General features: G+C 52.8%; 2 protein-coding genes across 13 annotated transcripts in view, besides 14 other annotated features; one reads left to right on the forward strand and one right to left on the reverse strand.

The window, feature by feature from the left end:
- Nucleotides 6,049-6,343: a silencer, noted in NCBI's record as "tiled region #3865; HepG2 Repressive DNase matched - State 23:Low". NCBI's record gives its function as "represses a minimal TATA promoter and a strong SV40 promoter by Sharpr-MPRA in HepG2 cells {active_cell/tissue: HepG2}" and the evidence as "EXISTENCE:reporter gene assay evidence [ECO:0000049][PMID:27701403]".
- FRMD8 (FERM domain containing 8) overlaps nt 10,277-27,910 on the forward strand; it is a 45,500-nt gene continuing 27,866 nt past the window's right edge. The window contains exons 1-2 of one of the 2 annotated variants that reach the window (XM_047427684.1): nt 10,277-10,294; nt 22,027-22,162. In XM_047427684.1, coding sequence (XP_047283640.1) covers nt 22,124-22,162 — 39 coding nt within the window. In that variant the 5' untranslated portion in view covers nt 10,277-10,294; nt 22,027-22,123. Of the gene's footprint in view, nt 10,295-17,503; nt 17,589-22,026; nt 22,163-27,910 lie in introns of those variants that run through there. The other variant, XM_047427683.1, reaches the window with a different exon arrangement.
- On the reverse strand, nt 17,443-25,952 carry SLC25A45 (solute carrier family 25 member 45). Of its 11 annotated transcripts, NM_001278251.3 has the most exons (10): nt 25,569-25,952; nt 24,976-25,298; nt 24,737-24,822; nt 24,126-24,220; nt 22,785-22,883; nt 22,383-22,485; nt 22,118-22,189; nt 21,627-21,812; nt 19,069-19,327; nt 17,443-18,926 (listed from the first exon to the last, which is right to left on the reverse strand). In NM_001278251.3, the coding sequence occupies exons 7-10, from the start codon at nt 22,142-22,144 to the stop codon at nt 18,658-18,660; spliced, it is 741 nt and encodes a 246-aa protein (NP_001265180.3). In that variant the 5' UTR covers nt 22,145-22,189; nt 22,383-22,485; nt 22,785-22,883; nt 24,126-24,220; nt 24,737-24,822; nt 24,976-25,298; nt 25,569-25,952; the 3' UTR covers nt 17,443-18,657. The 11 variants fall into 11 exon arrangements, 9 of the variants coding, with proteins under 9 accessions (NP_001265180.3, NP_872362.4, NP_001339311.2 ...); NR_147972.2 differs by lacking the exons at nt 24,976-25,298; nt 25,569-25,952 and adding an exon at nt 19,584-19,674 and having other exon boundaries at nt 22,383-22,426; nt 22,785-22,873; nt 24,737-24,897; NR_147973.2 differs by lacking the exons at nt 22,785-22,883; nt 24,976-25,298; nt 25,569-25,952 and adding an exon at nt 19,584-19,674 and having other exon boundaries at nt 22,383-22,426; nt 24,737-24,897.
- Nucleotides 18,876-19,376: an enhancer, noted in NCBI's record as "H3K4me1 hESC enhancer chr11:65144096-65144596 (GRCh37/hg19 assembly coordinates)". NCBI's record gives its function as "activates a minimal SCP1, AML or CMV promoter by ChIP-STARR-seq in naive and primed H9 embryonic stem cells {active_cell/tissue: H9 hESC(naive and primed)}" and the evidence as "EXISTENCE:reporter gene assay evidence [ECO:0000049][PMID:30033119]".
- Nucleotides 24,006-24,534: an enhancer, noted in NCBI's record as "H3K27ac-H3K4me1 hESC enhancer chr11:65149226-65149754 (GRCh37/hg19 assembly coordinates)". NCBI's record gives its function as "activates a minimal SCP1, AML or CMV promoter by ChIP-STARR-seq in primed H9 embryonic stem cells {active_cell/tissue: H9 hESC(primed)}" and the evidence as "EXISTENCE:reporter gene assay evidence [ECO:0000049][PMID:30033119]".
- Nucleotides 24,006-25,399: a biological region, named in NCBI's record as "P300/CBP strongly-dependent group 1 enhancer GRCh37_chr11:65149420-65150619".
- Nucleotides 24,083-24,212: an enhancer, noted in NCBI's record as "active region_4954". NCBI's record gives its function as "activates an Ori minimal core promoter by ATAC-STARR-seq in GM12878 lymphoblastoid cells {active_cell/tissue: GM12878}" and the evidence as "EXISTENCE:reporter gene assay evidence [ECO:0000049][PMID:35858748]".
- Nucleotides 24,200-25,399: an enhancer, noted in NCBI's record as "P300/CBP strongly-dependent group 1 enhancer chr11:65149420-65150619 (GRCh37/hg19 assembly coordinates)". NCBI's record gives its function as "activates an origin of replication core promoter dependent on BRD2, BRD4, P300/CBP, MED14 and CDK7 cofactors, with strong dependence on P300/CBP, by STARR-seq in HCT116 cells {active_cell/tissue: HCT116}" and the evidence as "EXISTENCE:reporter gene assay evidence [ECO:0000049][PMID:35650434]".
- Nucleotides 24,343-24,622: an enhancer, noted in NCBI's record as "active region_4955". NCBI's record gives its function as "activates an Ori minimal core promoter by ATAC-STARR-seq in GM12878 lymphoblastoid cells {active_cell/tissue: GM12878}" and the evidence as "EXISTENCE:reporter gene assay evidence [ECO:0000049][PMID:35858748]".
- Nucleotides 24,535-25,062: an enhancer, noted in NCBI's record as "H3K27ac-H3K4me1 hESC enhancer chr11:65149755-65150282 (GRCh37/hg19 assembly coordinates)". NCBI's record gives its function as "activates a minimal SCP1, AML or CMV promoter by ChIP-STARR-seq in naive and primed H9 embryonic stem cells {active_cell/tissue: H9 hESC(naive and primed)}" and the evidence as "EXISTENCE:reporter gene assay evidence [ECO:0000049][PMID:30033119]".
- Nucleotides 24,549-24,843: an enhancer, noted in NCBI's record as "tiled region #983; HepG2 Activating DNase unmatched - State 1:Tss, and K562 Activating non-DNase unmatched - State 1:Tss". NCBI's record gives its function as "activates a minimal TATA promoter and a strong SV40 promoter by Sharpr-MPRA in HepG2 and K562 cells {active_cell/tissue: HepG2 | K562}" and the evidence as "EXISTENCE:reporter gene assay evidence [ECO:0000049][PMID:27701403]".
- Nucleotides 24,743-25,052: an enhancer, noted in NCBI's record as "active region_4956". NCBI's record gives its function as "activates an Ori minimal core promoter by ATAC-STARR-seq in GM12878 lymphoblastoid cells {active_cell/tissue: GM12878}" and the evidence as "EXISTENCE:reporter gene assay evidence [ECO:0000049][PMID:35858748]".
- Nucleotides 25,063-25,262: an enhancer, noted in NCBI's record as "active region_4957". NCBI's record gives its function as "activates an Ori minimal core promoter by ATAC-STARR-seq in GM12878 lymphoblastoid cells {active_cell/tissue: GM12878}" and the evidence as "EXISTENCE:reporter gene assay evidence [ECO:0000049][PMID:35858748]".
- Nucleotides 25,591-26,117: an enhancer, noted in NCBI's record as "H3K4me1 hESC enhancer chr11:65150811-65151337 (GRCh37/hg19 assembly coordinates)". NCBI's record gives its function as "activates a minimal SCP1, AML or CMV promoter by ChIP-STARR-seq in primed H9 embryonic stem cells {active_cell/tissue: H9 hESC(primed)}" and the evidence as "EXISTENCE:reporter gene assay evidence [ECO:0000049][PMID:30033119]".
- Nucleotides 25,591-26,323: a biological region, named in NCBI's record as "Sharpr-MPRA regulatory region 10780".
- Nucleotides 26,029-26,323: a silencer, noted in NCBI's record as "tiled region #10780; HepG2 Repressive DNase matched - State 8:EnhW, and K562 Repressive non-DNase unmatched - State 7:EnhWF". NCBI's record gives its function as "represses a minimal TATA promoter and a strong SV40 promoter by Sharpr-MPRA in HepG2 and K562 cells {active_cell/tissue: HepG2 | K562}" and the evidence as "EXISTENCE:reporter gene assay evidence [ECO:0000049][PMID:27701403]".

Here is a 27,910-nt window from a genome sequence, read left to right on the forward strand (position 1 = left end):
GCAAGGACTCTCAGGGTGTGGGCACTGCTTGTGGGCTACCCTCCTGAGAGGGAAGCTCCAGGACAGACAGATCCCAGCTACTGCCCCAGATAAGCTGCAGCTCCAATAGTTTCGCTCTCAGATTGTGTGTGTTTGGGGTTGGGCAGGCTACGGACATGTCAGGGAAACAGAAAGGAGCCGGAATTGGAATGGAATAGTCATTCATTCTTTCTTTTTTTTTTTTCATTTGCTTATTTCACAACATCACTTCAGCAAGACCTCCTATGTGAACAAGGTTGCAAAGATGATGTCTCTTCTGGACAGAACCTTGCAGCCAATGACAGTGGAGTGTGATTAAGGCTGTGATAACGGCTGTGCAAAGTGCCTGGCCCCATAGAGCTAGGGAGACTCCAGGGGGAGGTGAGCTTTGAGCTGCAGTTTGAAGGGCGTCCCAGGCCAAGGGACAGCGTGTGCAGAGTCTGATTGGAGTGAAGGAGCACAGTGTGCTGGGGGCGGGGGCAGGCAGTTCTGCCAGAGCATAGCATACTTGCGGAGGTAGGGGCAGAGTACAAGGAGAGACCTGGAGAGTAGGAAGGGCCTTTAGCCAACCAGGCTTAGGGGTAGGACACCATCAGAGGGTTTTAGGTAGGCAGGAACAAGTCATTCTTGGGGTTCTAGAATAACGGAGTCTGTGTAGGGTGTGTCAAAGATGTGAAACCTAGAGGCAGAGAGCCTCTGACTGATCCAGGTGAGAGAAGGTGAAGCGTGAGCCAGATCCTGGGAGTAGGATGTAAAGAAAATGGTTTACCAGCAGGGCGCGGTGGCTCACGCCTGTAATCCCAGCACTTTGGGAGGCCGAGGTGGGTGGATGACCTGAGGTCAAGAGTTTATAAGACCTGCCTGGCCAACATGGTGAAACCCCATTTCTACTAAAAATATAAAAACTAGCCGGGCGTGGTGGCACATGCCTGTAATTCCAGCTTCTCAGGAGGCTGAGGCAGGAGAATCGCTTGAACCCGGGAGGTGGAGGTTGCAGTGAGCCAGGATGGTGCCACTGCACTCCAGCTTGGGCAACAAGAGTGAAACTCACTCAAAAAAAAAAAAAAAAGAAAAGAAAAGAAAATGGTTTTACCTGGAAAGGATATGGGCTTTGGACGCAGATAGACTCTAGCTGGTAAAAATACAAGCTGCAGGCCGGGCACAGTGGCTCATGCCTGTAATCCCAGCACTTTGGGAGGCCGAGGCTGGTGGATCACTTTAGGTCAGGAGTTCAAGAGCAGCCTGGCCAACATGATGAAACTCTGTCTCTACTAAAAATACAAAAATTAACCAGGCGTGGTGGCACACACCTGTAATCCCAGCTACTTGGAAGACTGAGGCAGTAGAATCGCTTGAACCCACGAGGCGGAGGTTGCAGTGAGCGGAGATCGCACCACTGCACTCCAGCCTGGGTGACAGAATGAGACTCCGTCTCAAAAATAAAAAAATAAAATAAAAATACTGTCTGGGCACGGTGGCTCACGCCTGTAATCCCAGCATTTTGAGAGGCCGAGGCGGGTGGATCACCTGAGGTCAGGAGTTCAAGACCAGCCTGGCCAACATAGTGAAACCCCGTCTCTATCAAAAATACAAAAACTAGCCAGGTGTGGTGGCGAGCGCCTGTAGTCCCAGCTACTCAGGAGGCTAAGGCAGGAGAATCGCTTGAACTGGGAGGTGGAGGTTGCACTGAGCCAAGATAGCGCCACTGCACTCCAGCCTGGGCGACAGAGCGAGACTCCCTCTTGAAAAAGGAATAAATAAAATAAAAATACGGGCTCCAGGCCAAAATCCTAAGGGTGACCTTTCAGGCTTCACCATTGGCAGTCACAAGACTTTTGCCTGGCAGTCCTCATGGAGGGAAGCTGCTCTCTCACCCCAGCTTGGTGCATCGCCTGTGCATTGCAGGTTTCCGGAGAGAGTTGCAGTCAAGGACTCCAGGCCCCCAGACTGCCCTGTTCCTAAGCTCACCTGCATTCCTAGCTGGGCACCTCCATTTGGAGACCTGGGCTGAGGCAGTTTCCAACAGCCTTTACCAAGACCTCCTTACTGGGAGCAATGACTGAGATCCTTTCTCCGCTTCGACTCAATACCTCTCATTCCATCCTTTCTCCGCTTTGACGCAGTACCTCTCATTCTATCCTTTCTCCGCTTTGACTCAGTACTTCTCATTTCAGCCCTTCTCCCCTGCCTCCCTACAGCCCACTTCAGGTCAGGTCTGTAAAAAGGCAGGAGCTTTTATTCTTTTTATTCTGAAACTCCTTGACGATGAGACTGTTCCTGTCTGACCCTTGTCCCGTGCTGCTCTGTAAAATGGAACGCTGGGGAGCTGGGGCCTGTTTTTGCCCCTTGCTTGTAGGTTTTAGTGAATGAAAAGAAGCTTTTGTGTTACTTTCAGCTTGCTTCGTTGTCCTAATTGACCAACTCCACACCTGGCAGCTCGAACTAACAACTCCCTTTCAAACACTTATGAAGCCACCTGCGGGCCTATCATTTTCTAGGCTGAGATCCCAAATCATTTAGCCTTTCCTCACAGAAGTCTATTTTTTCTACCCTGAATTCATATAAATTGTTCTTTTCTGAAACCTTTCCAGTTCTGATGTATCTCATTTTATTTTATTTTATTATTTTATTTTATTTTATTATTTTTGAGATGGAGTCTCCTTCTGTCACCTAGGCTGGAGTGCAGTGGCACGATCTTGGCTCACTGCAACCTCCGCCTCTCGGGTTCAAGTGATTCTCCTGCCTTAGCCTCCTGAGTAGCTGGGATTACAGGTGTCTGCCACCATGCCCAGCTAATTTTTGTATTTTTAGTAGAGACAGGGTTTCACCATGTTGGTCAGGTTGGTCTCAAACTTCTGACCTCAGGTGACCCGCCTGCCTCGGCCTACCAAAGTGCTGGGATTACCCAGGCGTGAGCCACTGCGCCCGGCCTATTTATTGTTTGTTTGTTTTGAAATGGAGTTTTGCTTTTGTTGCCTAGGCTGGAGTGCAATGGCACGATCTTGGCTCATCACAACCTCTACCTCCTGGGTTCAAGCAATTCTCCTGCCTCAGCCTCCCGAGTAGCTGGAATTACAGGCACCCGCCACCACGCCGGGCTAATTTTGTATTTTTAGTGGAGACAGGGTTTCTCCATGTTGGTCAGACTGATCTCAAACTCCTGACCTCAGGTGATCCGCCCACCTTGGCCTTCCAAAGTGCTGGGAATTACAAGCGTTAGCTACTGCGCCCAGCCCATATCTCTTTTTATTTTATTTTATTTATTTATTTTTTGAGACGGAGTTTTGCTCTTGTTGCCCAGGCTGGAGTGCAGTGGCGCGATCTTGGCTCACTGCAACCTCTGCCCCCAAATTCCAGTGATTCTCCTGCCTCAGCCTCCAGAGTAGCTGGGATTACAGGCACGCGCCACCACGCCCAGCTAATTTTGTATTTTTAGTAGAGATGGCGTTTCTCCATGTTGGTCAGGCTGGTCTCAAACTCCTGACCTCAGGTGATCCACCCACCTCGGCCTCCCAAGTGCTGGGATTACAGGCGTGAGCCACTGCGCCTGGCCCTATATCTCTTTCTAAATGTTGAAATCAAAATTACAGGCTGGGCGTGGTGGCTCACACCTGTAATCCCAGCACTTTGGGAGGCCGAGGCGGGCAGATCACCTGAGGTCAGGAGTTCGAGACCAGCCTGACCAACATGGAGAAAACCCCGTCTCTACTGAAAATACAAAATTAGCCGGGCGTGGTGGCGCATGCCTATAATCCCAGCTACTCAGGAGGCTGAGGCAGGAGAATCACTTGAACCCGAGAGGTGGTGGTTGTGGTGAGTCGAGATCACGCCATTGCACTCCAGCCTAGGCAACAAGAGCAAAACTCCATTTAAAAAAATAAAAAAATACACAATCTCTACAGGTCTTACCAAAGCAACAGAGAGCAGATAGATTAGCTCTCTGTCCTCAGGTGTCCCACTCCTGTCAAAGTAGCAGAATATAACACAATGCTGTACAGCTGGCCTCTTCCCGGAGCTTTTTAAAAAGAGCCATAATTAATCTCTTCCTTCCTTGAATCGCTATCATATGGCAGACATTTCCCAATTGCAGGTAACTTCATCTGCTCGTGCAAGCAGTATTCCCGAATGCTTAGCTTGTGGCTCAGGCCCTGTTCTGGGACCTTAAAGTCAATGGTGAACAAGACAGAGAGGATCCCGTCTGTCAGGGCCCTTACTTTTTTTGTTGTTGTTTGTTTTTTGTCTTGTTTTGTTTTGCTGTGTTTTTTCAGACAGAGTTTTGCTCTCGTTGCCCAGGCTGGAGTGCAGTGGCGCCATCTCAGCTCACCACAACCTCCGCCTCCCGGGTTCAAGTGATTTTCCTGCCTCAGCCTCCTGAGTAGCTGGGATTGCAGGCGTGCGCCACCACGCCTGGCTAGTTTTATATTTTCAGTAGAGACAGGGTTTCTCCAATGTTGATCAGGCTGGTCTCGAACTCCCAACCTCAGGCGATCAGCCTGAGTCGGCCTTCCAAAGTGCTGGGATTACAGGCGTGAGCCACCATGCCCAGCCAAGGCCCTTACTTTTTAGAAGAGGGAGAGCAAGAGCAGACATTAAACCCATGAGCACAGTCATTTCAGACAGCGAAAGGTGTCAAGATGAAAATAAAATAATGATGTCAGAGAGAGTGACAGGGTGCGTAGTCAGGAAAATGACCTGTGAGCTGCGTTGTGAATTTCTCTGCAAAGGGAACTGTGGGTACCAATCCAGGTGGTTAGAAACAGCTTCACAGGGTTAAGAAACAGAAAGCAGTGCCTGTGGCCGCAAGTGAGGGAGGCCAAGGAGGGGAGGAGGTCAGAGAGGTGGACAGGGGCCTTTCACCAGGGAGTGTTTAGGTTGCATTCTAAGCAAAATAGGAAGTTGGTTTGCCTTTTTTTTTTTTTTTTTTTTTTTTTTTTGCAGGGTGGGTTGGGGCTGTGTGGTTCAGATAAAGGAGGAACAAGATATGTTTTTTTGTTTTGTTTTTTGTTTGAGACGAAGTCTCACTCTGTCTCCAGGGCTGGAGTGTAGCGGCGCAATCTCAGTTCACTGCAACTTCTGCCTCCTGGGTTCAAGCGATTCTCCTGCCTCAGCCTCCTGAGTAGCTGGGATTACAAGTGCCCGCCACTACGCCCAGCTATTTTGTGTGTGTGTGTGTATTTTTAGTAGAGACAGGGTTTCACCATGTTGGTCAGGCTGGTCTCAAACTCCTGACCTCATGATTCGTCCATCTGGGGCTCCAAAAGTGCTGGGATTACAGGCGTGAGCGATCGCGCCCAGCCGCAAGATATGTTTCATGTGTGTGTTTTTGGTTTTTTGTTTTTTCTTTAAAGACAGAGTCTCACTTGGGTGCCCAGGCTGGAGTACAGTGGCACAATCATGGCCCACTGCCACCTCAAATTCCTGAGCTCAAGCAACCCTCACTTCTCAGTCTCCTGAGTGGCTGGGACTACAAATATACAAGTGTACACCACCATACCTGGCTAATTAAAAAATTTTTTTTTTGGTAGAGAGGGTGTCTCTCCATCTTGGCCAGGCTGGTCTCAAACTCCTGGTCTCAAGCAATCCCTCAGCCTCCCAAAGTGCTGGGATTACAGGTGTGAGCCATTGCGCCCAGCCTATGTTTTTGTTTTGTTTCGTTTTGTTTTGTTTTTGAGACGGAGTTTCACTCTGCCACCCAGGGTGGAGTGTAGTGGCCTGATCTCGGCTCACTGCAACCTCCGCCTCCCTGGTTCAAGCGATTATCTTGCCTCAGCCTCCCGAGTAGCTGGGATTACAGGCGCACGCCACCTAGCCTGGCTAATTTTTTGTATTTTTAGTAGAGACGGGGTTTCATCATGTTGGCCAGGCTGGTCTCGAACTCCTGACCTCAGGTGATCCACCTGCCTCACCTCCCAAAGTGCTGGGATTACAGGCGTGAGCCACCACACCTGGCCTATGTTTTATGTTTTTAAAAAGTCTCATTCTAGTTGCTGCGTGAAGAACAGATCGGCAGATGGGGAACAAATGTGGAAATTCAGGACCAAGTAAGTTAGGAAGCTCCCACAGTTGCTTGGACATCCTAAGAGGTGGGATAGAAAGGAAAGAGAGGCAGCAAAGGCAGCATCTACTATTCCCAACAGACCTCATCTTTTATCAAGGCCAGGCAATCCTATCCAATTATGCAAGTGTTGCCACATGCAGAGCAAGGCAGGGGAGGGAAGGACAAAGACGTTATGTGTTATTTCAGTGTATTTCCAAGCCTCTAATGAACACCCTCTATGTTCAGATGGCACCTAAGGCTCCCAGGCAACAAAGATAAGGAAGACACAGTCCTGTTCCTAAACTGCCCTCAAACTAGAGAGAGAAATAGAAAATTACCTGTAATATACGTCAGAGAACAAGACAGACAGGATTGCTCCTCTTAAGGCCCTTTAAACAAATCAATATTTCTAAAGTGCTTACTACTGGCCAGGCACTGTTTTATTTATTTATTTGTTTACTTATTTATTTTATTATTATTATGTTTTTAGATGGTGTTTTCCCTCTTGTTGCCCAGGCTGGAGCGCAATGGCGCGATCTTGGCTCACTGCAACCTCTGCCTCCCAGGTTCAAGTGATTCTCCTGCCTCAGCCTCTCTAGTACCTGGGATTACAGGTGCACACCACTACGCCCAGCTAATTTAGTAGAGACGGTGTTTGACCATGTTAGCCAGGCTGGTCTCAAACTCCTGACCTCAGGTGACCCACCTGCCTCCGCCTCCCAGAGTGCTGGGATTACAGGCATGAGCCACAACACCTGACCCAGTCCCTTTAAATATATACCCAGAAATGGAATGGCTGGATCATATGGTAGTTCTATGTTGCATTTTTTGAGGAAATTCTACACTGTTTTCTGTAACAACTGAACCAAGTACGTCCCCACCAACAGCGTGCAAGGGTTCCTTTTTCTCCACACCTTCACCAACACTCGTTATCTTTTTTTTTTTTCTTTTTTTTTGAGACAGAGTCTCGCCCTGTCGCCCAGGCTGGAGTGCAGTGGTGCGATCTCAGCTCACTGCAAGCTCCGCCTCCCAGGTTCACGCCATTCTCCTGCCTCAGCCTCCCGAGGAGCTGGGACTACGGGCGCCCGCCACCGCACCTGGCTAATTTTTTGTATTTTTAGTAGAGATGGGGTTTCACTGTGTTAGCCAGGATGGTCTCGATCTCCTGCCCTCGTGATCCGCCCGCCTCGGCCTCCAAAAGTGCTGGGATTACAGGTGTGAGCCACCGCGCCCGGCCGCTGATTTTTTTTTTTTTTTTTTTTTTTTTGAGACGGAGTCTCGCTCTGTCGCCCAGGCTGGAGTGCAGTGGCGCGATCTCGGCTCACTGCAAGCTCCGCCTCCCAGGTTCACGCCATTCTCCTGCCTCAGCCTCCCGAGTAGCTGGGACTACAGGCGCCCGCTACGGCGCCCGCTACCGCGCCCGCTACCACGCCCGGCTAATTTTTTGTGTTTTTAGTAGAGACGGGGTTTCACCGTGTTAGCCAGGATGGTCTCGATCTCCTGACCTCGTGATCCGCCCGCCTCGGCCTCCCAAAGTGCTCGGATTACAGGCGTGAGCCACCGCGCCCGGCCTTTTTTTTGTATTTTTAGGAGAGACGGGGTTTCACCGTGTTAACCAGGATGGTCTTGATCTCCTCACCTTGTGATCCGCCTGCCTCAGCCTCCCAAAGTGCTGGGATTACAGGCTTGAGCCACCACGCCCGGCCTATCTTTTCTTTTCTAGGCCGATGGAAGGTGATATTGTGGTTCTGATTTCCATTTCTCTGATGATTGGTGATGTTGCACACTTTTTTGTAAACTTGTTGGCCATTTGTATGTCTTCTTTCAAAAAATATCTGTGTAGTTCCTTTGCCTTTTTTTTTTTTTTTTTTTGAGACAGAGTTTTGCTCTTGTTGCCCAAGCTGTAGTGCAATGGTGATCTCAGCTCACCGAAACCTCCACCTCCTGGGTTTAAGTGATTCTTCTGCCTCAGCCTCCCGTGTAGCTGGGATTACAGGTACGTGCCACCATGCCCAGCTAATTTTTTGTATTTTTAGTAGAAATGGGGTTTCACCATGTTAGCCAGGCTGGTCTTGAACTCCTGACCTCAGGTGATCTGCCTACCTCGGCCTCCCAAAGTGCTGGGATTACAGGCGTGAGCCACCTGGCCACCCATTTTTAAATTGAGTGATTTGGTTTTTGCTATTGAGTTGTGTGAGGGAATTTTTTATTAGTTGGACTTAATCTCTGGAAAACCCGAAGATCCTGATTTAGAATGCGTCCTGTTTGAAAAATGTGTAGTTGCCGGGCGCGGTGGCTCATGCCTGCAATCCCAGCACTTTGGGAGGCTGAGGCAGGTGGATTACCTGAGGTCAGGAGTTCAAGACCAGCCTGAGCAACATGGTGAAACCCTGTCTTTACTAAAAAATACAAAAATTAGCCAGGCATGGTGGCGGGCGCCTGTAATCCCAGCCACTCGGGAGGCTGAGGCAGGAGAATTGCTTGAACCTGGGAGGCAGAGTTTGCAGTGAGCCAAGATCGCACCATTGCACTCCAGCCTGGGTGACAGAGCAAGACTCCTTCTTGGAAAAAAAAAGAAAAGAAAAAGAAAAATGTGTAGTTACTCCCACAAGACACAAGGGGACACTACTAGCATGATACATTCGTTTCCTAGAGGCCGACATCCCAGACCTGAAGGGAGTACAGGGAGCAGGCAGGTCGTTCTGAATTCATGGGTCCAAGTATTCCTAAGTTTTTTCCACCACAAAGGAAAGGGGCAGGGTTTGTTTATCAATTCCCTTTACTGGTGGGTGGAGGTTTTCTGGTCTACCTTTCACTGCATGGGTAGCCCCTTCCAGGATCCATAGGAATCTACTATGAGCCTTGGTTTCAGCTGCCCCACCATATGTGGACTCAAGGTCTAATTTGTTCCCCGTGGTTCCTTAATCTCCAAGGTCATGGAGTTATCAGCATTTGGCCCAGGGGCTGCCCCAGTTCCAACACCCTGATTTACACCCTTTCTTGTTTTGAAGGGATCCTTGGGAAATTCCCTTACTTTTTGCAAAGTTAGCAATGGTTTTAAAACTATGTTTGTTTGTTTGTTTATTGAGACAGGGTCTCCTTCTGTCGCCCAGGCTGGAGAGCAGTGGCAAGACCATGGCTCACTGCAGTCTCAAACTCCTGGCCTTAAGCAATCTTCCTGCCTCTGCAGCGGGATAATTAAGGAATCAGAGAGACCCAGGGGTTGAAGAGGATTTATTTAATTATTTAGGTGCACCGACCCAGTCGGATTAACATCCAAAGGACTGAGCCCCGAACAAGGAGTCCGGTTACCTTTTAAGCATTTAGTGGGATGGGGGGAGATTTGTGCAGGGGGAAGCATATTACAGAAACGAGAAACAAAGACAGTTATTTAAGACATGCATTACATTATTTCTAACTTTTCAAGGAACAGCATGTTTTATGACTTGAGATTATCTGTTTAGTGACCTTGCAGCTGCACAGCTAGAGAAACAGAGTTCACAATGCCTGGGAAAGGGAGAGATAAGGCTCACTAGCCACAGAAAGACAGGCAGTCAATTTTTTTTTTTTTTTTTTTGAGGTGGAGTCTTGCTCTGTGGCCCAGGCTGGAGTGCGGTGGCACGATCTCGGCTCACTGCAAGCTCTGCCTCCCGGGTTCACGCCATTCTCCTGCCTCAGCCTCCCGAGTAGCTGGGACTACAGGCGCCCGCCACCACCACACCCAGCTAATTTTTTGTATTTTTAGTAGAGATGGGGTTTCACCGTGTTAGCCAGGATGTTCTCTAACTCCTGACCTCAGGTGATCTGCCCACCTCAGCCTCCCAAAGTGCTGGGATTACAGGCATGAGCCACGGCGCCCGGCCTGCTTACACATTTTTAAATTTCTTTTAATTCTTATTCCACCTCAGCTTCCCAAAGTTAAAAATTATGTTTATTATCACTGATAGAGAATCTAATTGCTTTCCAGTAGGCGGGGACTACATAAATTCTGGAGCACCAGCCTGCCACAGGGTAAGTGGGGAAGACCAGCTTGCTTCCTTTTATTTATTCATTCACTCATTTGTTCAACAACTATTTATTTATTTACTTATTTTTGAGACAGTGTCTTGCTCTGTTGCCCAGGCTGGAGTGCAATACGTCTTCATGGCTCACTGCAGCCTCAACCTCCCAGGCACAAGCGATCCTCCCATCTCAGCCTCCTGAGGAGCTGAGGCCACAGCTGCATGCCACCATACCCAGGTAAGTTTTTGGGATTTTTTTTGGTGTTTTTTTTTTTTGTTTTTTTTTTTGAGACGGAGTCTCACTCCGTCACCCAGGCTGGAGTGCAGTGGCATTATCCTGACTCACTGCAACCTCCAGTTCCCAGGTTCAAGCGATTCTCCTGCCTCAGCCTCCCAAGTGACTGAGACTACAGGCATGCACCACCGTACCTGGCTAATTTTTATATTTTTAGTAGAGACGGGGTTTCACTCTGTTGGCCGGGCTGGTCTCAAACTCCTGACCTCAGGTGATCCGCCCACCTCGGCCTCCCAAAGTGCTGGGATTACAGCATGAGCCACTGCGCTTGGCCATTTTTTTGTATTTTTGCAGAGACGGGGGTCTCGCTATGTTTTCCAGGCTGGTCTCAAACCCCTAGGCTCAAGTGATCCTCCCATCCTGGCCTCCCAAAGTGCTGGGATCACAGGTGTGAGCCATTGCACCCAGCCAACAACTATTTACTGAGCACCTCTGTATGCCAGCTAGAGTTTTGTTTTGTTTTGTTTTGTTTTGTTTTTTTGAGACGGAGTCTTGCTCTGTCGCCCAGGCTGGAGTGCAGTGGCGCAATCTCGGCTCACTGCAAGCTCTGCCTCCCGGGTTCACGCCATTCTCCTGCCTCAGCCTCCCGAGTAGCTGGGACTACAGGTGCCCGCCACCATGCCCGGCTAATTTTTTGTATTTTTAGTAGAGACAGGGTTTCACCATGTTAGCCAGGATGGTCTTGATCTCCTGACCTTGTGATCTGCCTGCCTTGGCCTCCCAAAGTGCTGGGATTACAGGCGTGAGCCACCACGCCCGGTCTACCAGCTAGAGTTTTGACAAGAGCTAACACAGGGGTCTCTGCTTCCCAGACCTCATAGTTTAGAGGAGAGACAGATATAACCTAAGGGTTACACGAATGAGAGTGTGTCATTATAGAATGATGAAGGGGGACAGTGTGAGAACATGGGCCAGTGGTTCTCAAGGCGTTGCTCTCAGCAGCAGCAGCAGCAGCATCTGGGCAACATAGTAAGACCCTATCTCTAACATAATGGAAGGCAAATCTTGGACCCGCCCCAAGCCTACTGAACCAGAAACTCGAGGGTGGGACCCAGCAATTTGTATTTTCACAAACTCCCCAGGTGATTCCAAACAACAGGCATAAGTCAAAGGAATGTGATCAAGGTTTCCATAAGGAAGTGTGGCTGAACTGAGAGCTGAAGGCTGGGTGGGAGGCACACAGGCAGGCAGAGGGCATGTGCGGCTGGGCACAGTGTCTCATGCCTGTAATCTCAGCACTGTGGGAGGCCGAGGCAAGACGATCACTTAAGCCCAGGAGTTCAAAAACAGCCTGGGCAACATAATGAGACCCCATTTTTACAAAAAAAAAAAAAAATTAAAAATTAGGCTGGATGCAGTGGCTCATGCCTGTAATTCCAGCACTTTGGGAGGCCGAGGCAGGTGGATCACCTGAGGTCAGGAGTTTCAGACCATCCTGGCCAACATGGTGAAACCCTGTCTCTACTAAAAATACAAAAAATTAGCCAGGCTTGGTGGTGGGCACCTGTAATCCCAGCTATTGAGGAGGCTGAGACAGGAGAATTGCTTGAACCAGGGAGGTGGGTTACATGAGCCGAGATCAAGCCACTGCACTCCAGCCTGGGCGACGAGCAAAACTCTCAAAAATAAATAAATAAATAAATAAAATTAGGCTGGGCATAGTGGCTCATGCCTGTAATCCCAGCACTTTGGGAGGCCGAGGCGGGCGGATCACCTGAGGTCAGGAGTTTGAGACCAGCCTGACCAACATGGAGAAATCCCGTCTCTACTAAAAATACAAAATGAGCCGGGTATGGTGGCACATATCTGTAATCCCAGCTACTCGGGAGGTGAGACAGGAGAATCACTTGAACCCAGGAGGTGGAAGTTGCGGTGAGCCAAGATCACACCATTGCATTCCAGCCTGGGCAACGAGAGTAAAACTCTGTCTCCAAAAAAATAAATAAATAAATAAATAAAATATAAATAAAAATTAGCTGGGCAAGGTGGCACACACTTGTAATCCCAGCTACTTGGGAGGCTAAGGTGGGAGGATACTTGAGCCTGAGAGGTTGGGGCTGCAGTGGGCTTTGATCCTGCCACTGCACTACAGCCTGGGCAACAGAGCGAGACTGTCTCAAAAAACAAAAAAGAAGGGCATGTGCAAACGTCTTGTGGTGGGAGGGAGCCTGATGTGCTTACGGAACCAAGAGAAGGTGCACGCCTGCAAGCCTTGCAGGCTGCGGGAGGGAGCTTGCCCTGGTTCTGCAGAGGACTGGGAAGCCACTGAGGAGCAGGGAGACTTGGGGAGAATTGTACTGCCAAAAGTTAAAGTACCTGGGCCAGGCGCGGTGGCTCACGCCTGTAATCCCAGCACTTTGGGAGGCCGAGGCAGGCAGATCATGAGATCAGGAGTTCAAGACTAGCCTGGCCAAGATGGTGAAACCCCATCTCTACTAAAAATACAAAAAATTAGCCGGGTGTGATGGCGGGTGCCTGTAATCCCAGCTACTCGGGAGGCTGAGGCAGAGAATTGCTTAAACCCGGGAAGCAGACATCGCAGTGACCCGAGATCTTGCCACTGCACTCCAGCCTGGGCGATAGAGCAAGACTCTGTCTCAAAAAAAAAAAAAGTTAAAGTACATGTTCAGATCTGAGACAGGACCAGGGCTGTGCTGTTAGGATTGGTAAAGAGGGAGTCGAGGCCAGATGCAGTAGCTCATGCCTGTAACCCCAGCACTTTGGGAGGCTGAGACAGGAGGATCACTTGAGCCCAGGAATTCGAGACCAGCCTGGGCAGCATAGTGAGACCCCCATCTCTAAAAAATTGGGAAGGAGTAGAAATCTTTCAAAGGGTTAAGAGGAGTTAGAGACTCTTTTGGCATGGCGGGGGTGAAGAGGGAGAGCTCCTCTGAGGCATCGGCCTGGGCTGGGAGCTGAGGGCAGCAGGGCGGGCTGGGGAACTTGAGGTGCCTTTGGGACATCTAAGGATGTGTGACCAGAGACAGCAGTGTGGGCCTGGCACTCAGGAGCCTGAGCAGGCTGGAGACACCAGTTAAGTCACATTCACAGCATGGACCCCCTTGGCTCAGCTGTTTCCTGAGTCTGGTCAAAGTTATTTAAGCCAGAGTCATCTCGTGGTTGTGTCATTTCCCCCTTTCCCTGCGCATGTAGCTTTCCCCAGGCTGGAGTGTGGTGGGGAAAGCCACAGGGAGTGTCACTATACACATAAGTTAGTCTCCTGGAATTTCTTCAGCTGTGGTCATTGCTAAAAAAAGAAGTATGACGCTGGACAACAGGAGTCCAATGGGACTTTATTTAACATGTTTGCTCAAGTTATCAGCTCTTTGCAAGTGACTGACAGACACCACCTCCTTTGTAACCTCAAAGCAGGTTCACAGACTATCTCCTGGTTCTTAGGGATTTCTTCTGTCGAAAAGAGTTCTCAAAAATAACAGCAACCTGAGATACCATCTGTTAAATCCTTAAGCAATTTCGCATGCCTTATGAGACCCTGCTGATTAAAAACATCTAGTTTTGTTTTCTTTTTTTTGAGACGAAGTCTCGCTCTGTCATCCAGCCTGGAGTGCAATGGCGCGATTTTGGCTCACTGCAACCTCCGCCTCTCTGGTTCGGGTGATTCTCCTGCCTCAGCCTCCCAAGTAACTGTGACTACAGGTGCGTGCCACCATGCCCGGCTAATTTTTTGTATTTTTAGTAGAGACGGCGTTTCACTGTGTTAGCCAGGATGGTCTCGATCTCCTGACCTCGTGATCTGCCCACCTTGGCCTCCCAAAGTGCTGAGATTACAGGCATGAGCCACGAAGCCCGGCTAAATTTTGTGTTTTTTGAGATAGAGTCTCTCTCTGTCACCTAGTCTGGAGTGCAGTGGGGCAATCTCAGCTCACTTCAACCTCCACCACCTGGGTTCAAGAGATTCTCCTGCCTCAGCCTCCTTAGTAGTTGGGATTACAGGCATGTGCCACCACGCCTGGCTAATTTTTGTGTTTTTAGTAGAGATGGGGTTTCACCATATTGGCCAGGCTGGTCTCGAACTCCTGACTTCAGGTGATCTGCCCACCTTGGCATCCCAAAGTGCTAGGATTACAGATGAGAGCCACCATGCCTAGCCAACATCTAGATTTTTAGAATCTCTCTGGCCCCTTCCTGCCCCATCTTTGTCTTTCTGCCCTCCCCTCCAATAGTGGCATCTCCTCCTGGGGCCACTGTGCAGGAGTGAGTTATTTGCTCACTAATCACACCATACTAAACCCTAAACTCACTCCAGGACTGCTCTCCCAGCCCAGTGGGTAGCCTTTGCCATGGATTGGTGGAAGGAACTTGGGCCTGGAACTCCCTGGTCCCACCTGAGTCTGGCCACTCTCTCTGGCTGTAAAGGTGGAGTTTAGAGGACGGGCACTCCAGGCTCTTTAGGAGACTCCTCTAGATAGAACCAGAGAGGGAGAATGGGAGCCCATTTAACTAAAGCCAAAAAAAATAGATTTTTTTCATTTTACTCCCTTGCTGTTTTGTTGTTGTTGTTTTGAGTTTAGGAGCAGAGGTTTAATAGGCAAAGGGAAAAGGAGAACAGCTCTCTCTCAGACAGAGGGGCACCCAAATGGGAATTCCCGCTAACTGGTAATTTGATGAGAAATAGCAAACAACAGAGGACCACTCTGACCTGTCCTCCTGCCTACTTCCTGCACTGTTTATAGGAGCCCACCTCCTCCTCCTCATGCGTCCTGTTTGCTTCCTTCCAGCCACGGGCTGCCCAGTGGTGTTCTGACACCTGCTGTACCATCGCTGCAATGTCCAGCCTGGAATCCCTGGCGCTGCGGTGGTGCTGGATGGGCTCAGAGATGGTCCGATCAGAAGGGATCACAGAGGAAAGCTGGGGGTGGTGGCTCACGCCTGTTAATCTCAGCACTTTGGGAGGCTGAGGCGGGCGGATCACTTGAGGTCAGGAGTTCCAGACCAGGCTGGCCAACATGGCAAAACCCCGTCTCTACTAAAAGTACAAAAAAATTAGCCGGGCATGGTGGCATGCACCTGTAGTCCCAGGCAGGAGGATCACTTGAACCCAGGAAGCAGAAGTTGCAGTGAGCCGAGATCGTGCCACCGCACCCCAGCCTGGGTGACAGAGCAACACACCATCTCAAAAGAAAAAAAAAGGGATCACAGAGGAAACTGAGGCACAGGAAGGGCAGTGCCTGCCTCAAGGCACCTGGGAACCGGCCTCAGGTGGACCTTGTGTTTTCCATAGGAGGAGCAGAGACTGCTAGAAACTAGGAGTTCGAGTCTCTTCCACCATACACCTTTCTCAGCCCGAAAGGGCAGCACATTCCCACGATCAGGAGCCCCCAGAACACCGATTCTTAAACTTTAGCATGTGTAGAAATCCCTGGGAGAGCTTTTCACAACACAGATTCCTGCGCCCCATCCTCAGAGATTCTGATTTGGTAGGTCTGGGGTGGGGCCTGAGATGCTGCATATCTTTTTAAAAATTATTATCATTATTATTATTTGAGACAGAGTCTTGCTCCATCACCCACGCTGGAGTACAGTGGCGCAATCAAAACTCACTGCAGCCTCAACCTCCCAGGTTCAAACAGTCCTCCCACCTCAGTCTCCCAAGCAGCTCTGTCTACAGGCACAGTGCCACCACACCTGGCTAATGTTTAAATTTTTGGTAGATACAAGGTCTCACTATGTTGCCCAGGCTGGTCTTGAACTCCTAGCCTCAAGTGGTCCTCCTGCCTCGGCCTCCTAAAGTGCTGTAATTACAGGTGTGAACCACTGTGTCTGGCCAGATGCTGCATTTCTAATAAGCTTTGCTCCATGGACCACACTTGGATTACCACTGACTTAGAAACTCACAGTACCTTACCCACTGAGTCAGGATGAAGCTTGCTAAACTGTTGCAACAAGGGCCTAAACTGTTGCAACAAGGACAGAGCCAGGTGCCTCACGCCTGTAATCCCAACGCTTTGGGAGGCCAAGGCGGGTGGATCACATAAGACCAGGAGTTCGAGGCCAGCCTGGCCAACATGGTGAAACCCTATCTCTACTAAAAATACAAAAACTAGTTGCAGATGGCCTCCAGCCATCTGCAGCACATGATCTGGTGAAGGAGAGCTCTGATGAGCACGTGACGTAGTATGGTCCCGGCAGGTCTAGCCCAGGGTGGTGTGGGGGGAGTTGAACTTAGGTGACTCGCAGAAGACCCCCATGTGCCCAGGTGGAGCAGGGTAGCCATGTGCCCAGGTGGAGCAGGGTAGCTAAGTAACTGGACACTGCGGCTGGAAGCTCAGAGGCATCTAAGCAAATTGTATGATTTACCCGCGGTGTGACCTAGGACAAGTTACATAATGTCTCTGAGCCGAGGCTGCCTCTCTATCAACTGTGATCATAACACTGTGATTGTTTCTACAGGGAGCCCCCAGTAAATGGCAGGAATTCAGGTCACCATGAGGTGGACTCACGTTGATCTCAGACCAGATAGGGACATTAGTGGGTACAAATGGCCCTTGATGCTCAATTTTGTTGTCAGTTAAAAGAACCCTCTCAGCCAGTTTTTAATTCCCACTGAGCAAGTGAGATGGGTAAAGAAAACAACAGTGGCTCACACCTGTAACTCCAGCTCTTTGGGAGGCCAAGGTGGGAGGGCTATCTGTGCTCAGGAGTTCAAGACGGCCTGGGCAACATAGTGAGACCTCCTCTCTACAAAAAAATTAAAAATTAGCCAGGTGCGGTGGCACACACCTGTAGTCCCAGCTACTCAGAAGACTAGGGTGGGAAGATCACTTGAGTCCAGGAGTTCAAGGCCACAGTGAGCTATAATGGCACCACTGCACTCCAGCCTGGGCAACAGAGTGAGACTCTGTATCTAATAAAAGAAAAAATAGAGAAAAAGAAAAAGAAAACAAGCACCATTGGCTGGGAGTGGGCAAAGCAGACAGACCCCCAGCTCCCAGCATCCTCCACTGCAGGTGACCTCGAGAAGGGTCAGAGCAGGAAAATGGGGGCTGGGAGGTTCAACAGAAAGCTGTGTGGCAAGACCAGGGAAGCAGGTGTGGCAGCTGGCGTGAAGAGACAGGTCAGGAGTGCAGTCGCATCATTTAACGAGCATTTATTGCACACGTCTGTTCAAGCACCAGGCTCAGGCTGGAAACCATCCAAAGCGCAATCCCTGACCTCAGGCAGCTCACAGTCCAGTGGGGAAGCCGAGAAGCAAATTAATGACTCTGAAGAAGCGCAGGCAAGTGCTATGATCAAGGCATGTGTGTGGGTAGGGTGTCTGGGAACCCCAAAGTCAGCCTCAGGTGGGGAGGTAAGTCAAGGAAGGGTGAGGGGACTGGGCTCAGCCTGGGTCTCGGAGGAGAGCGGGGCCAGCCCCGGGGATGGTAGAGTCAACCTGCCAGGCACTGTGCACTGCTGGCCAGGCCCGGCCAATGAGAGCACAACTTGTTCAGGGTCCAGGAAGCAACCCCAGGAGAACAAAGCCTCGTGGGGAGGGAGGAACCTGGAGGGTGGAAGGAGTTTGGGCTTTTCCTGAAGGTGATGAGAGCCACTGAAGGATTCTGGGGGAGGAGACATAGGGTTATCCTGGGTCATGGGGGAGAGAGCTTTGAAAGGCAGGGAGGTGGGAGGCCGCAGGGACTCTCAGAAGTGGAGTCTCAGAGCTCCTTAAGAGGTGAAGGCAGCCGGGCGCGGTGGCTCACGCCTGTAATCCCAGCACTTTGAGAGGCCGACGCGGGCGGATCACAAAGTCAGGAGATCAAGACCATCCTGGCTGACATGGTGAAACCCTGTCTCTACTAAAAATACAAAAATTTAGCTGGGTGTGGTGGCGGGCGCCTATAGTCCCAGCTACTTGGGAGGCTGAGGCAGGAGAGTTGCTTGAACCCGGAAGGTGGAAAGGCGGAGGTTGCAGTGAGCCGAGATCACGCCACTGCATTCCAGCCTGGGTGACAGAGAAAGACTCCATCTCAAAAAAAAAAAAAAAAAAAAAAAGAGGTGAAGGCACAGGACAGGAGCTGGGATGTCACCAGCACCACTTGCCAGCTCACTTGTGCCTCATGCTCCCTGTTTCACAGATGTGGGAGGCAAAGGAGTCAAGGCCAGCTACACAGGGAGGCTGCACAGGCCCCCTGGCTTCCGGCTCCCACAGGTGTCTGCCCAGCCCAGATCTGCGCGGGTGGGAGGCACCTTGGTTAGGAAGGGCTGAGCCTCTTGCACTGATTTGCAAGCTTTCAACCTGGCCTCCAATCTCAAACTGGCCTCCAGGCCGTGGGCCTGATGGGGAGCTGCTGGCATTGCCGCAGGGCTCATCCCCACCAGCGGAGGAGATATTCGTAGCTGAGGAAGGTGACAGCATTGACGGGAAAGGCGCGGGCACTGTTGATGGTGACCCCCCGGAAGAAGACTCCCAGTCCTTCCTGCCGGATGCTGCTCACCATGCAGTCCAGCATCCCCTGGTACACTCTGCGTCTCAGTCCATCCATCTGCATCCGGGACTTGATCATGTCTAAGGGCGTGGCTGCCACCCAGGAAGCAATGCCTGCAAAGCCCCCTGCCACCAGCACCGTGGCTGAGCCTGGGGCAGAGAGAGCCCAGAGCAGGGGTCAGACCCAGAACAGAGCATCCTCCCCAGACCCTAGTTTCCTTCCCCAGTCCCCGCTGGACCCTGCCTGCTACCCACACCTCTGTCCCCCATCCTCTCACGCCACTTTACTTACTGGGATTCTGGCCTTCTGGTGTGTACTGGCGACAGAGCCCTTCATAGGTGATGAAGTAGATCCCCACCGTGGGGGTGTCCCTCAGCGTCAGGGCCCAGGCTCCTCGGAACAGCCCCCGGGGCCCCTCCTCCCGGAAGATGGAGGCTGCACAGTGCACGGGCCCCTGGTACCGGGGTGGGGGGCTCCCTGGCTGGGCCCTTGGCTCTGTCTGGTTTTGTAGCCGGACTTTGATGAGGTCAAAAGGAGCCAGACAGTAGGCCTGTTGGTGATGAAACATGAGGGCCCCGGGTGGGGCTTTGGGCTGGGAACTGGCCCCTTATATTCACAAGAGGAAGGAGGCAGGCAGGGGGCCACATCTTCCAGTCCCTCAGGAACCCTGCCGGCACCCAGCCTCTCACGTGCATGTGTGGCTGGGATGGCCAGGATGTCTGCATGCGACCGGGACAGGCCACCTCCCTTGGCATCAGGCCCAAGAGTGAGAGGCACTGCCCCTCATGCAACAGTGACCAACTTGCCTGGCCTACAGCAGGCACTCAGAACAAGCCTGGATTCTTTTTGCAGGAGCAGGTTGGTTTCTGGCCTCCCTAAAGCCGGCAGTGAGCATACCTGTACGGTGGGCAGGGCCAAGTGAAGGATTCAGCCTGTGACTGTGAAATAGCAAAGAAACCACCCTTTCCCAGGGTGAAGGAGGTCCCCTCGTGAGTGCTGTTCTCCTGCGCCCACCTCTCAGAGGCCCGGAGGGGCACAAGGCCAGCCCCTCCTGCCTCCAGAGAGGCAAGACTCCTTCCCATTAGCATCCCACCAAAGAGGCTTCTGAGTGTGGGAAGGTGGGTAATGGGGGGACTTGGCAGGTGCTAGGGCTCTTAGAATCGGCAGAAGCAGATGCTACACAGATTTGGGATGGAATTGGGGCTGGAGTCCTGGTGAGGGTCAGTGCTGGGGGGATGTAGAGGGCGATGGGGGCAATTAAGATTTGGGTCAGAGATGCCAGTAGGTCAAGATAGCTTTTGGAGTCCAGGTGAGAATCGGGGTCCATGTCAAGGCTAGCCTGTCTCTGAGGGATTTATCTGTTTTTTGCTTGTTTGTTTTGTGACAGGTACATGGGCTCAGTTCCTCAGCCCTGGAGATGGCTGATGGCGACGGGGGCTGGCGGTCGCCTCTGGTGGTGGGTGGTGGTACTTAGGGTGTGGCAGGCCAAGTCTTCGCTTGTTTACTTTGGTCCCAGGAGTAAGGGTCGTAGGTTAGGTACCATCCCTTGGGAGATGGGGCCTTGTGCCACCCTCTAGAGCGTGCTGGCAGGGCTGAGCTCAGGGCTTCAGGAGGTGTTCTGAGCCCTGAGCTCCTGGGGGCTGAGGACAGGGCTAGGCTGACACCAGGTGACAGACACCCCCACAGGGGTGGTGGAGTGTCAGATGCCATTTCAGAAGGTCAGCTTCGGCGAAGACCAGGGCAACGTCTGTGCCCGTCAGAGGCTGTCAGTCCCTGCCTCTTCTTCCCACTCCACACTAAAACACATTTTTCCTTTAAGACTCTGTTAAACTAAAGCCACAGGTTTCACTGTAAACCCAGGCTCCATCAGCGGCCCTCACAGTCCCCACTTCTGCTTTCCAAAGAGCTGGGGGGGCAGGGTGACTTAGAAGCCGGGCCTGGCCACTTAGCTTAGGGCTTCGGTTCTCTTCCTTGTGTTTGTGGGATGTGGCTCGCGGGGCTCAGGAAACCTATAGGTGGCACCTCGCACAAGAAGGGGCAGAAGAAAAGCCGGGGCCTCCGGGGGTCTCATTAATCATTAATTCATTTGAAGGAGCAGCCTGACTTTGTCCTTTGTCCTTGCTCTCTGCCCCATGAAGTGTGACAAGGAACTGGGGGCAGCTGCCCAGGAGAGGGCGACCCTGGCTTGCGGCTGGGGTGTCAGTGGGTGCCGGGCGCACCCTCTCCCTGCTTATGCTCACAGGACCCATTCAGCACCGGTTCCCACTGGCGGCAGCTGGTCCCTCTTCCCTCCATCCACCCCTCTAAAGCCCAAAGCCCAGATGACGGCAGTGCCTGAATGGTTAATGCCCTGCTGGGCTGGGCCTCAGGTGAGGCTCCCAGGTCATGGGCACCCAAGCACTGCAGGCAAAGTGTAGAGCCAGGCAGGGCCAGGGGAGTGTCAGGACCTCATCAGGACCCGGCCAGAGGGGCTGGGCTCACAGCTCTGCGGGGTGCTGGTGGTTCTCCAGGGTCAAAGGTCTCCTTGGGGAGTGGGCTCCCCACAGCTCTGAGGCTGGCAGACCCCTCTGGAGGGGGGCAAGCCCCGTCAGCTGGAGCGAGTGGCCCAGGCTGCTTCTCCCAGCACCCTCTTGGCACTGCCCACCAGCTGTCTCTGCCTTTTGCCCCCTCTGTTCCCCACAGCCCTCCCCCAGAGGCCTGCAGCCTGGAAGGCCATAGCACAGGCCTCTTGTTCCCCTCCAAGAGGCCTATGCCTCCACAGCTGTGGGTCGCCAGGGCAGGGTGGGAGAGGACAGATCGAGATGACCATCCCTATGACACCTGTGTGTGCCCACTCACTGCCCCCTCACCTGCAGGAACCCCCCGGTGCAGCCCGCTAGGAAGATGTGCATGTAGCTGGGCGGCTGGGCCCGCCGCTCCTGGTGGGAGGTGGCCGTGAGCACCAGCAGGGTGTTGCTATAGACCCCAAACAGGACAGAGTTGACCACAGCTATGCTGGCAATGGGGAAGCTCATTCCCTTGAAGAAGCCCAGGAGCTGCAGAGAGACACAGTGGCAGCGGAGTAGGCACCGTGGGGCCTCCCCTTTGTCCTCTCCACCCCTGGCAAGGCAGCCTCTGGCTGGAAACTGCTCCCAAGTCCTGCCACAGGGAAGTGGGGACAGGCAGGGATGGGCTGAGGCTGCGCCTCTGGGGTGCTAAGCTACCACCCAGGCCCCCCAAGGATCCCAGACTTGGTCTTCTCTCCTCCAGGAGCAGAACCCTGCTGGAGAGGGAAGCTGGTACCAACAGCCCCAGATGCCTCCCCGAAAGGGGAAGGACCCCAAAGGAGTGGGCCACTCACGGACTCATGGCGGTAAATCTTGACCATGCAATCAACGATGCCCCGGTAGGTGGTCTGGGTCTGCAGCCTCACCTGGGTGGGAGGACAGAGCAGGTAGGGTGGCGGGATGGGCAGGTGGGCCAACCTTTCCCTCTGCCCCCTCAAGCGGGATGCCAACCAGCAGGAGAGGCAGGAAAGGCAAGATTAGCCAGGCCTGATCTCAGGGCACCCTGACATTTGGGTCAGGTGAGATCTTTCATTCCTCTGGCAGCTCTCCTAAACTCACCTTTACAGTGTCAAACGGGTGTCCCAGGACCAAGCCCAGAGCGCCTGTGGTGACAAGAGGGTGCTATGAGTGAGGGCCCTCGTGCCAGGCCCAGGAAGCAAGTCTGTGCCAAGAGGAAAGAGGGGTTCAGGCAGGAGGAAGGAGAGCAGGGCCATCTCAGACACATGCAGCCACCTTCCTGCCAAGCTCTAGAGACTCCAGCTGCCCCTGCCACCCCCTCCACACAGGCACTGGGCCAGGAAGGCACTGGGACAAGGGACTAAGACCCCAGGCCCCACCTGAGGATGCACACCCAAGAGGGAAGAGCCAGCCAAAGACGTACGTGTCCTCGCTGGAGCCCATACCCGGGTATCCCACCGCCTATGAGCCGCGGGACTCTGGGAGAATCACCCAGGTTCCCACCTCTCCGAGAGCTTTACTCTTCTTTCTTCAACTCATAATGTCGTCGCCGGGATCCAGAGCAGGCCCTGCTGCCAGCTGGCCACGCAGAACTGCAGGGCCCTGATGGGGGTCATGCCTGGGCACCTGCAGAGGAGCTTCTCCCCTCCCCTCCACCTGCCCACTGCCTAGCCCTGCCCTCCACAGCAGAGGCTGGTTCTGGAGTTTGGGGGAGGTCGCACCCCCAGGAGGCAGGTTCAGAACGTCCCTCTCTTTCTCCTAAGAGGAATGCCACCCAGAAGCTGGGCTGGGACCACAGCACAACAGGCCTCAGGGCCCGGGACTGCGGCCCACAGCCAGGTGGGGCAGAGGCCCAGAGGGGACTCAGGACAGCAGGTGAGGTCAAAGGTGAACTTCCTTTGTAAGCCCAACAGGGTGGGCCTGGAGAGCAGGGCTCAAGGTATAGGGTGCTCACCTGGCTCTCCCGCCCTCTGCAGGTGTCAGGCAGAGTGGCCTTGGAAGGCAGAGGCAGCACCCTCCCACCTGTGCCTTCCTCTCTTCTTCCCATCGGCCACTCCCCAGAGGACTGGGGACAGCTGGCTCTGGGGTGCTCCACGGAACCCAGACTTTTTTTTTTTGACACAGGGTCTTGCTGGTGTTGTCCAGGCTGGAGTGCAGTGGCATGATCATGGCTCATTGCAGCTTCAACCTCCTGAGCTTAAGGGCTCCTTCCACCTCAGCCTCTGGAGTAGTTGGGACCACAGGCGTGCGCCACCGCGCCTGGCTAATTTTTGTATTTTTAGTAGAGACGGGGTTTCACCATGTTGGCCAGCCTGGTCTCGAAATCTTGACCTCATGATCCACCTACCTCAGCCTCCCAAAGTGCTGGGCTTACAGGCATGAGCCACCGCGCCCAGCCTCTCATTTCTTATAAAGACAGGGTCTTCCTATGTTGCCCAGGCTGGTCTCAAACTCCTGGCCCCAAGTGATCCTCCTACCTCAGCCTCGCAAAGTGCTGGGATTACAGGTGTGAGCCACCATGCCCTGATTCTTTTTTTTTTTTTTTTTTTTTTTTTGTGGCAGGGTCTCATTCTGTCACCCAGGCTGGAGTGCAGTGGTGCAGTCATAGCTCACTGCAGCCTTGAACTCCTGAGCTCAAGCAATCCTCCTAAGTAGCTGGGACTACAGGTGTGAGCCACCATGCCCAGCTAATTATTTTGATTTTTTTGTAGAGACAGGGGCCTCCCTATGTTGCCCAGACTGGTCTCAAACTCCTGGGCTCAAGTGATCCTCCCGCCAGGCCGGAACTCAGACTTTGGTCTCTGCTCCTCCCATGTCACCCATCTTCCCGAGGAAGTGACCTACCATTGGGTGTGATGTGACAGAAGGAAGAAAAATGTCTCACCAGAGATCCAGCCAGCCACAAATTCCTCCACCGGCATTGTCTGGGCTTGCGGGAACTGGTGGCTCCAGCAGAGGAGACAGAGTTGAATTCCCCCCTCTCCCTCCCCTGGCCCACGCTGATAACCTCCCACTAATGTTTAACCCTGGCGGGAAGGTGAGAATTGGCCTGGTGCCCAGACCTCCGGCAACTGGCAGAGGAGAGCGAGCCAGTTCCGGTGACCCTGGCCACCTGGAGGAGTCGTGCAGAGTACAGTCTCACGGGCCAGGCGTGCCGGGACCACAGAGGCCCTGATCCCCGAGCCCGGCCAATGATCCTCGCTCTGAGGATGGCAACTGGGTTCCTGCCCCATGGTCGGGCCCCTCCAGGGCTGCCTTAGTCAGCAAGAGGCAAGCCCCTGCCTGCCCAGCCAGCCCAGCTCCACTCCCATTCATCTCCACCAAGGGGCATGGCCGCCCCCATGCCACAGAGAGAGGCCGGGTGCGGAGGTAGCGTGGCCACCAGGGGGTAGGCCCAGCCCGCATTTGCCGCTGCGTGGCAGGGTGGGGAGGAGCCACTCCCAGGAGTGACTCACCAGGCCTGGCTGTTCTCTTCAGGGTTGTTTACGACTCCCCCGACTCCCCCGTGTGAGTCAGAAACACAGCCTTCCTCGGCTTCCTCCTTCCCAGGGGAAAGATAGGGGTTTTGATTATTTAAAGTGCGTGTTGATCTGCAATGGCACCATTCTGCTCAGTCAAAACCAAAACCCTTTCAAGGATCTGTGAGCCACAGGGTGCCGCCCATTCTCCTCTGACCTCACGTCCTGCCACCCACCCCCTTGCTTTCTCTGCTGCAGCCACCCGAGCCTCCAGACTCTTCTTCAGTCAGCCTTCTGTCTCCAGGCCTGTGGACTGGCTCTTCCCTCTTCCTGGGCACTCTTGCCCTGGCACCCCTCCAGCTGGGGCTCAAATGTCACCACCTGGGTGAGGTCTGCCCCGCCTCCCCAGCCGGAGGCACTGCTGGCTCTTCCTCTCTTTCTCCATCACAGTTATCACGCCAACATACGATGGGAAGAACTTGTCTGTCTGGACAGGGATCTCTGGGTGTTCTGTGCACAGCGGGTGGCACAGGGTGGGCTCTCAATAAATCCTGAGTGACTGAATGAACGGAAATGTCAGCCAGCAGCATCAGCGGCAGCCTGGGGCTCCAGTTCCCTCTTCCCATCACCAAACGGCCCTGGGAAACATCAAGGCCCAGTGACACCTGCACCCTCCCCTCCAGATCTCCCCGCAGCTCCTAGTCTCCCATGGGGGACGCCCAAGGCCCAGTCCTTCTCTCCCTTCTCCTCTCACTGTGGCCAAGGCAGAACCCACCCACCCCTGCTGCTTTCTCCCGGGTGGACAGATTCGGGAAACAGGACCTCCTACCTCCTGCCTCTGGAGCTGCCTGGGGCTCCTTGGGCCACCCCCAAAGATCATCCTAAAAGACCATCCCCAAAGACTGGCCTCTCGTGGTGGCTTGGGCTGCAGTCCTGGTTCTGCTTCTTATTCCTGAAACTGCCTTTGCAAAAACTATAACTGATACAGGCCAGGCGCAGTGGCTCACGCCTGTAATCCCAGCACTTTGGGAGGCCGAGGCGGAAGGACCACCTGAGGTCAGGAGTTCGAGACCAGCCTGACCAACATAGTGAAACCCCATCTCTACCAAAAATACAAAAATTAGCCGGGTGTGATGACGGGCGCCTGTAGTCCCAGCTACTTGGGATGCTGAGGCAGGAGAATCGCTTGAACCCGAGAGGCAGCTGTTGCAGTGAGCCAAGATCATGCCACTATACTCCAGCCTGGGCAACAGAGCGAGACTCCGTCTCAAAAAAAAAAAACAAACAAACAAACAAAAAAAAAACCCTCCTGTCTCTCGTACAGCCAGCTCTGCATGAATTAAACTCTCCTTATTGCAATTCCCCTGTCTTGACAAATTGGCTCTGTCTAGGCAGAGGGTAAGGTGAACCCAATGGGCGGTTACATTATCTCTCTCAGTGATGTTGAGCAACCTCTTCTGTGGGCCTTGGGGTCTATTATTGTTTGCCAAAGTAGGACAGCAGTCGGGCTAATTGATGTCTAAGCCTCTCAGCTCTAAAGGCTGGAGGCCGCCTCCTCCCTCACTTCAGAATGGGTCTCATTCTCTTTTCCAATCTCACCGCCTCACCCCAGTTTGAGAAAGACCCTCATTCCCACTTCCCTACAGCCTTGCTGAAGGGAAGCCCACCTAAGCATGGCGTCATCTTGTGAATCTCTAGCTCACAACCTCCAAAATGTTCTTACTGTCTAACACGCCTGCCCCATATCTGTCATCCTGGGGTTCAAGGCCTCCCCCATGGTGCCACCCACCTGCTATGCTCTCACACAGCGGGGGTCTTTCCTGGGGTCCTAACCATGCTCGTGCAGTTCCCACTACCTGGAATGCCTTTCCTTCCCCACCATCAGCCTCCCGGACTCTCTCCCAGTGCCCCTCCTTGACTAGACCCGGGTTCTAGCCTCCCCACCACCACCGCAGACACTCCCAGGTGTCAGTCTTTGACATAAAACAGAGATGTGATACTCACCTCTTAGTGAGTTCTAAGGATTAAAGCACTTTAAAAAGTGGCTGGCACGTAAATGGCAACTGCTAATACTTATTTCCACTCTCAGGACGCATGAGAATGACACAGGAAACAGGGGAAAGGGCCTGGCCCAGTGCCCCACACACAGCAAGTGAGCAGAGACTTTTCCTGCCTGTAGCATTTCATAGTTCTTAAGGCAATGCTGTCATCTTCTGTGGTTTTATTTATTTTTTTGGAGACAGAGTCTCACTGTTGTCCAGGCTGGAATACAGTGGCAGGATGGCGCTATCAGAGCTCACTGTGAGCTCACACTCCTGGGCTCCAGCGATCCTCCCACCTCAGGCTCCTGAATGGCTAGGACCACAGATGTGTGCCACCACACCTGGCTAATTTTTGGGTTTTTTACAGATGGCGTCTCACTATGTTCCCCAGGCTGGTCTTGAACTCCTGGCCTCAGGCGATCCTCCTGCCTCGGCCTCCCAAAGTGCTGTGGTTTTAAATGTGCTGTTCTCCTGGGCTTCTTTCTCTTTCCCCTCTTCCTTAACTCACCAATTAAACCACAACAGACACTTTCTGAGGGCAGGGCCACGTCTCCCCTCAGTCTCCATCCCCTGACCTAGCACAAGCCCCGCATCCAGTAAGCATTCAAAACAACACTGAACTCTTCTGCTCCTGCTTCACTCCAGCTGGGTCAAGAGGCCATGGAGATACAGTGTGTCCTGGTCTGAGGGTCCCAGAGCTGAGAACCAGGAAGGAGATGCCTGCCCCCACTGGACACCCTTCCCTGCAGCCCACATCTGAGCTTCCTCAAGTCCTTAAGTCACATTGGCAAGGCAAATGTGATGTCATGGGCTCAGCTGTGGGGCAGTGTGGATCATAGGAGGGCAGGCAGAGCTGGTTCACATACCAAAGAAGGCTGGACTGGGTCAGGAGCTAGAGCTGCTTTCCAATCCCAGGGAACCAGGGCAAAGTGAACCCACTGCCCTCTGTTCCTGATCACCAAGCCCACTGCTGTCACTTGGGACAACTTCTGGTTCCTCTGGCCCCAGAAGGTGCCCCATGGACTTATTTTTCTCCCTGAGTTCCACATCTCAGATGCACACATGTTGCATTACCAGGACATGTCAGTGACATGGCCCTGAGGGTAGGTGGTTTCACACCTGCCTCTTT

The sequence above is a fragment of the Homo sapiens genome, chromosome 11 (genome assembly GCF_000001405.40).
Source record: "Homo sapiens chromosome 11, GRCh38.p14 Primary Assembly".
In the NCBI taxonomy this organism is placed as follows: Eukaryota; Metazoa; Chordata; class Mammalia; order Primates; family Hominidae; genus Homo; species Homo sapiens.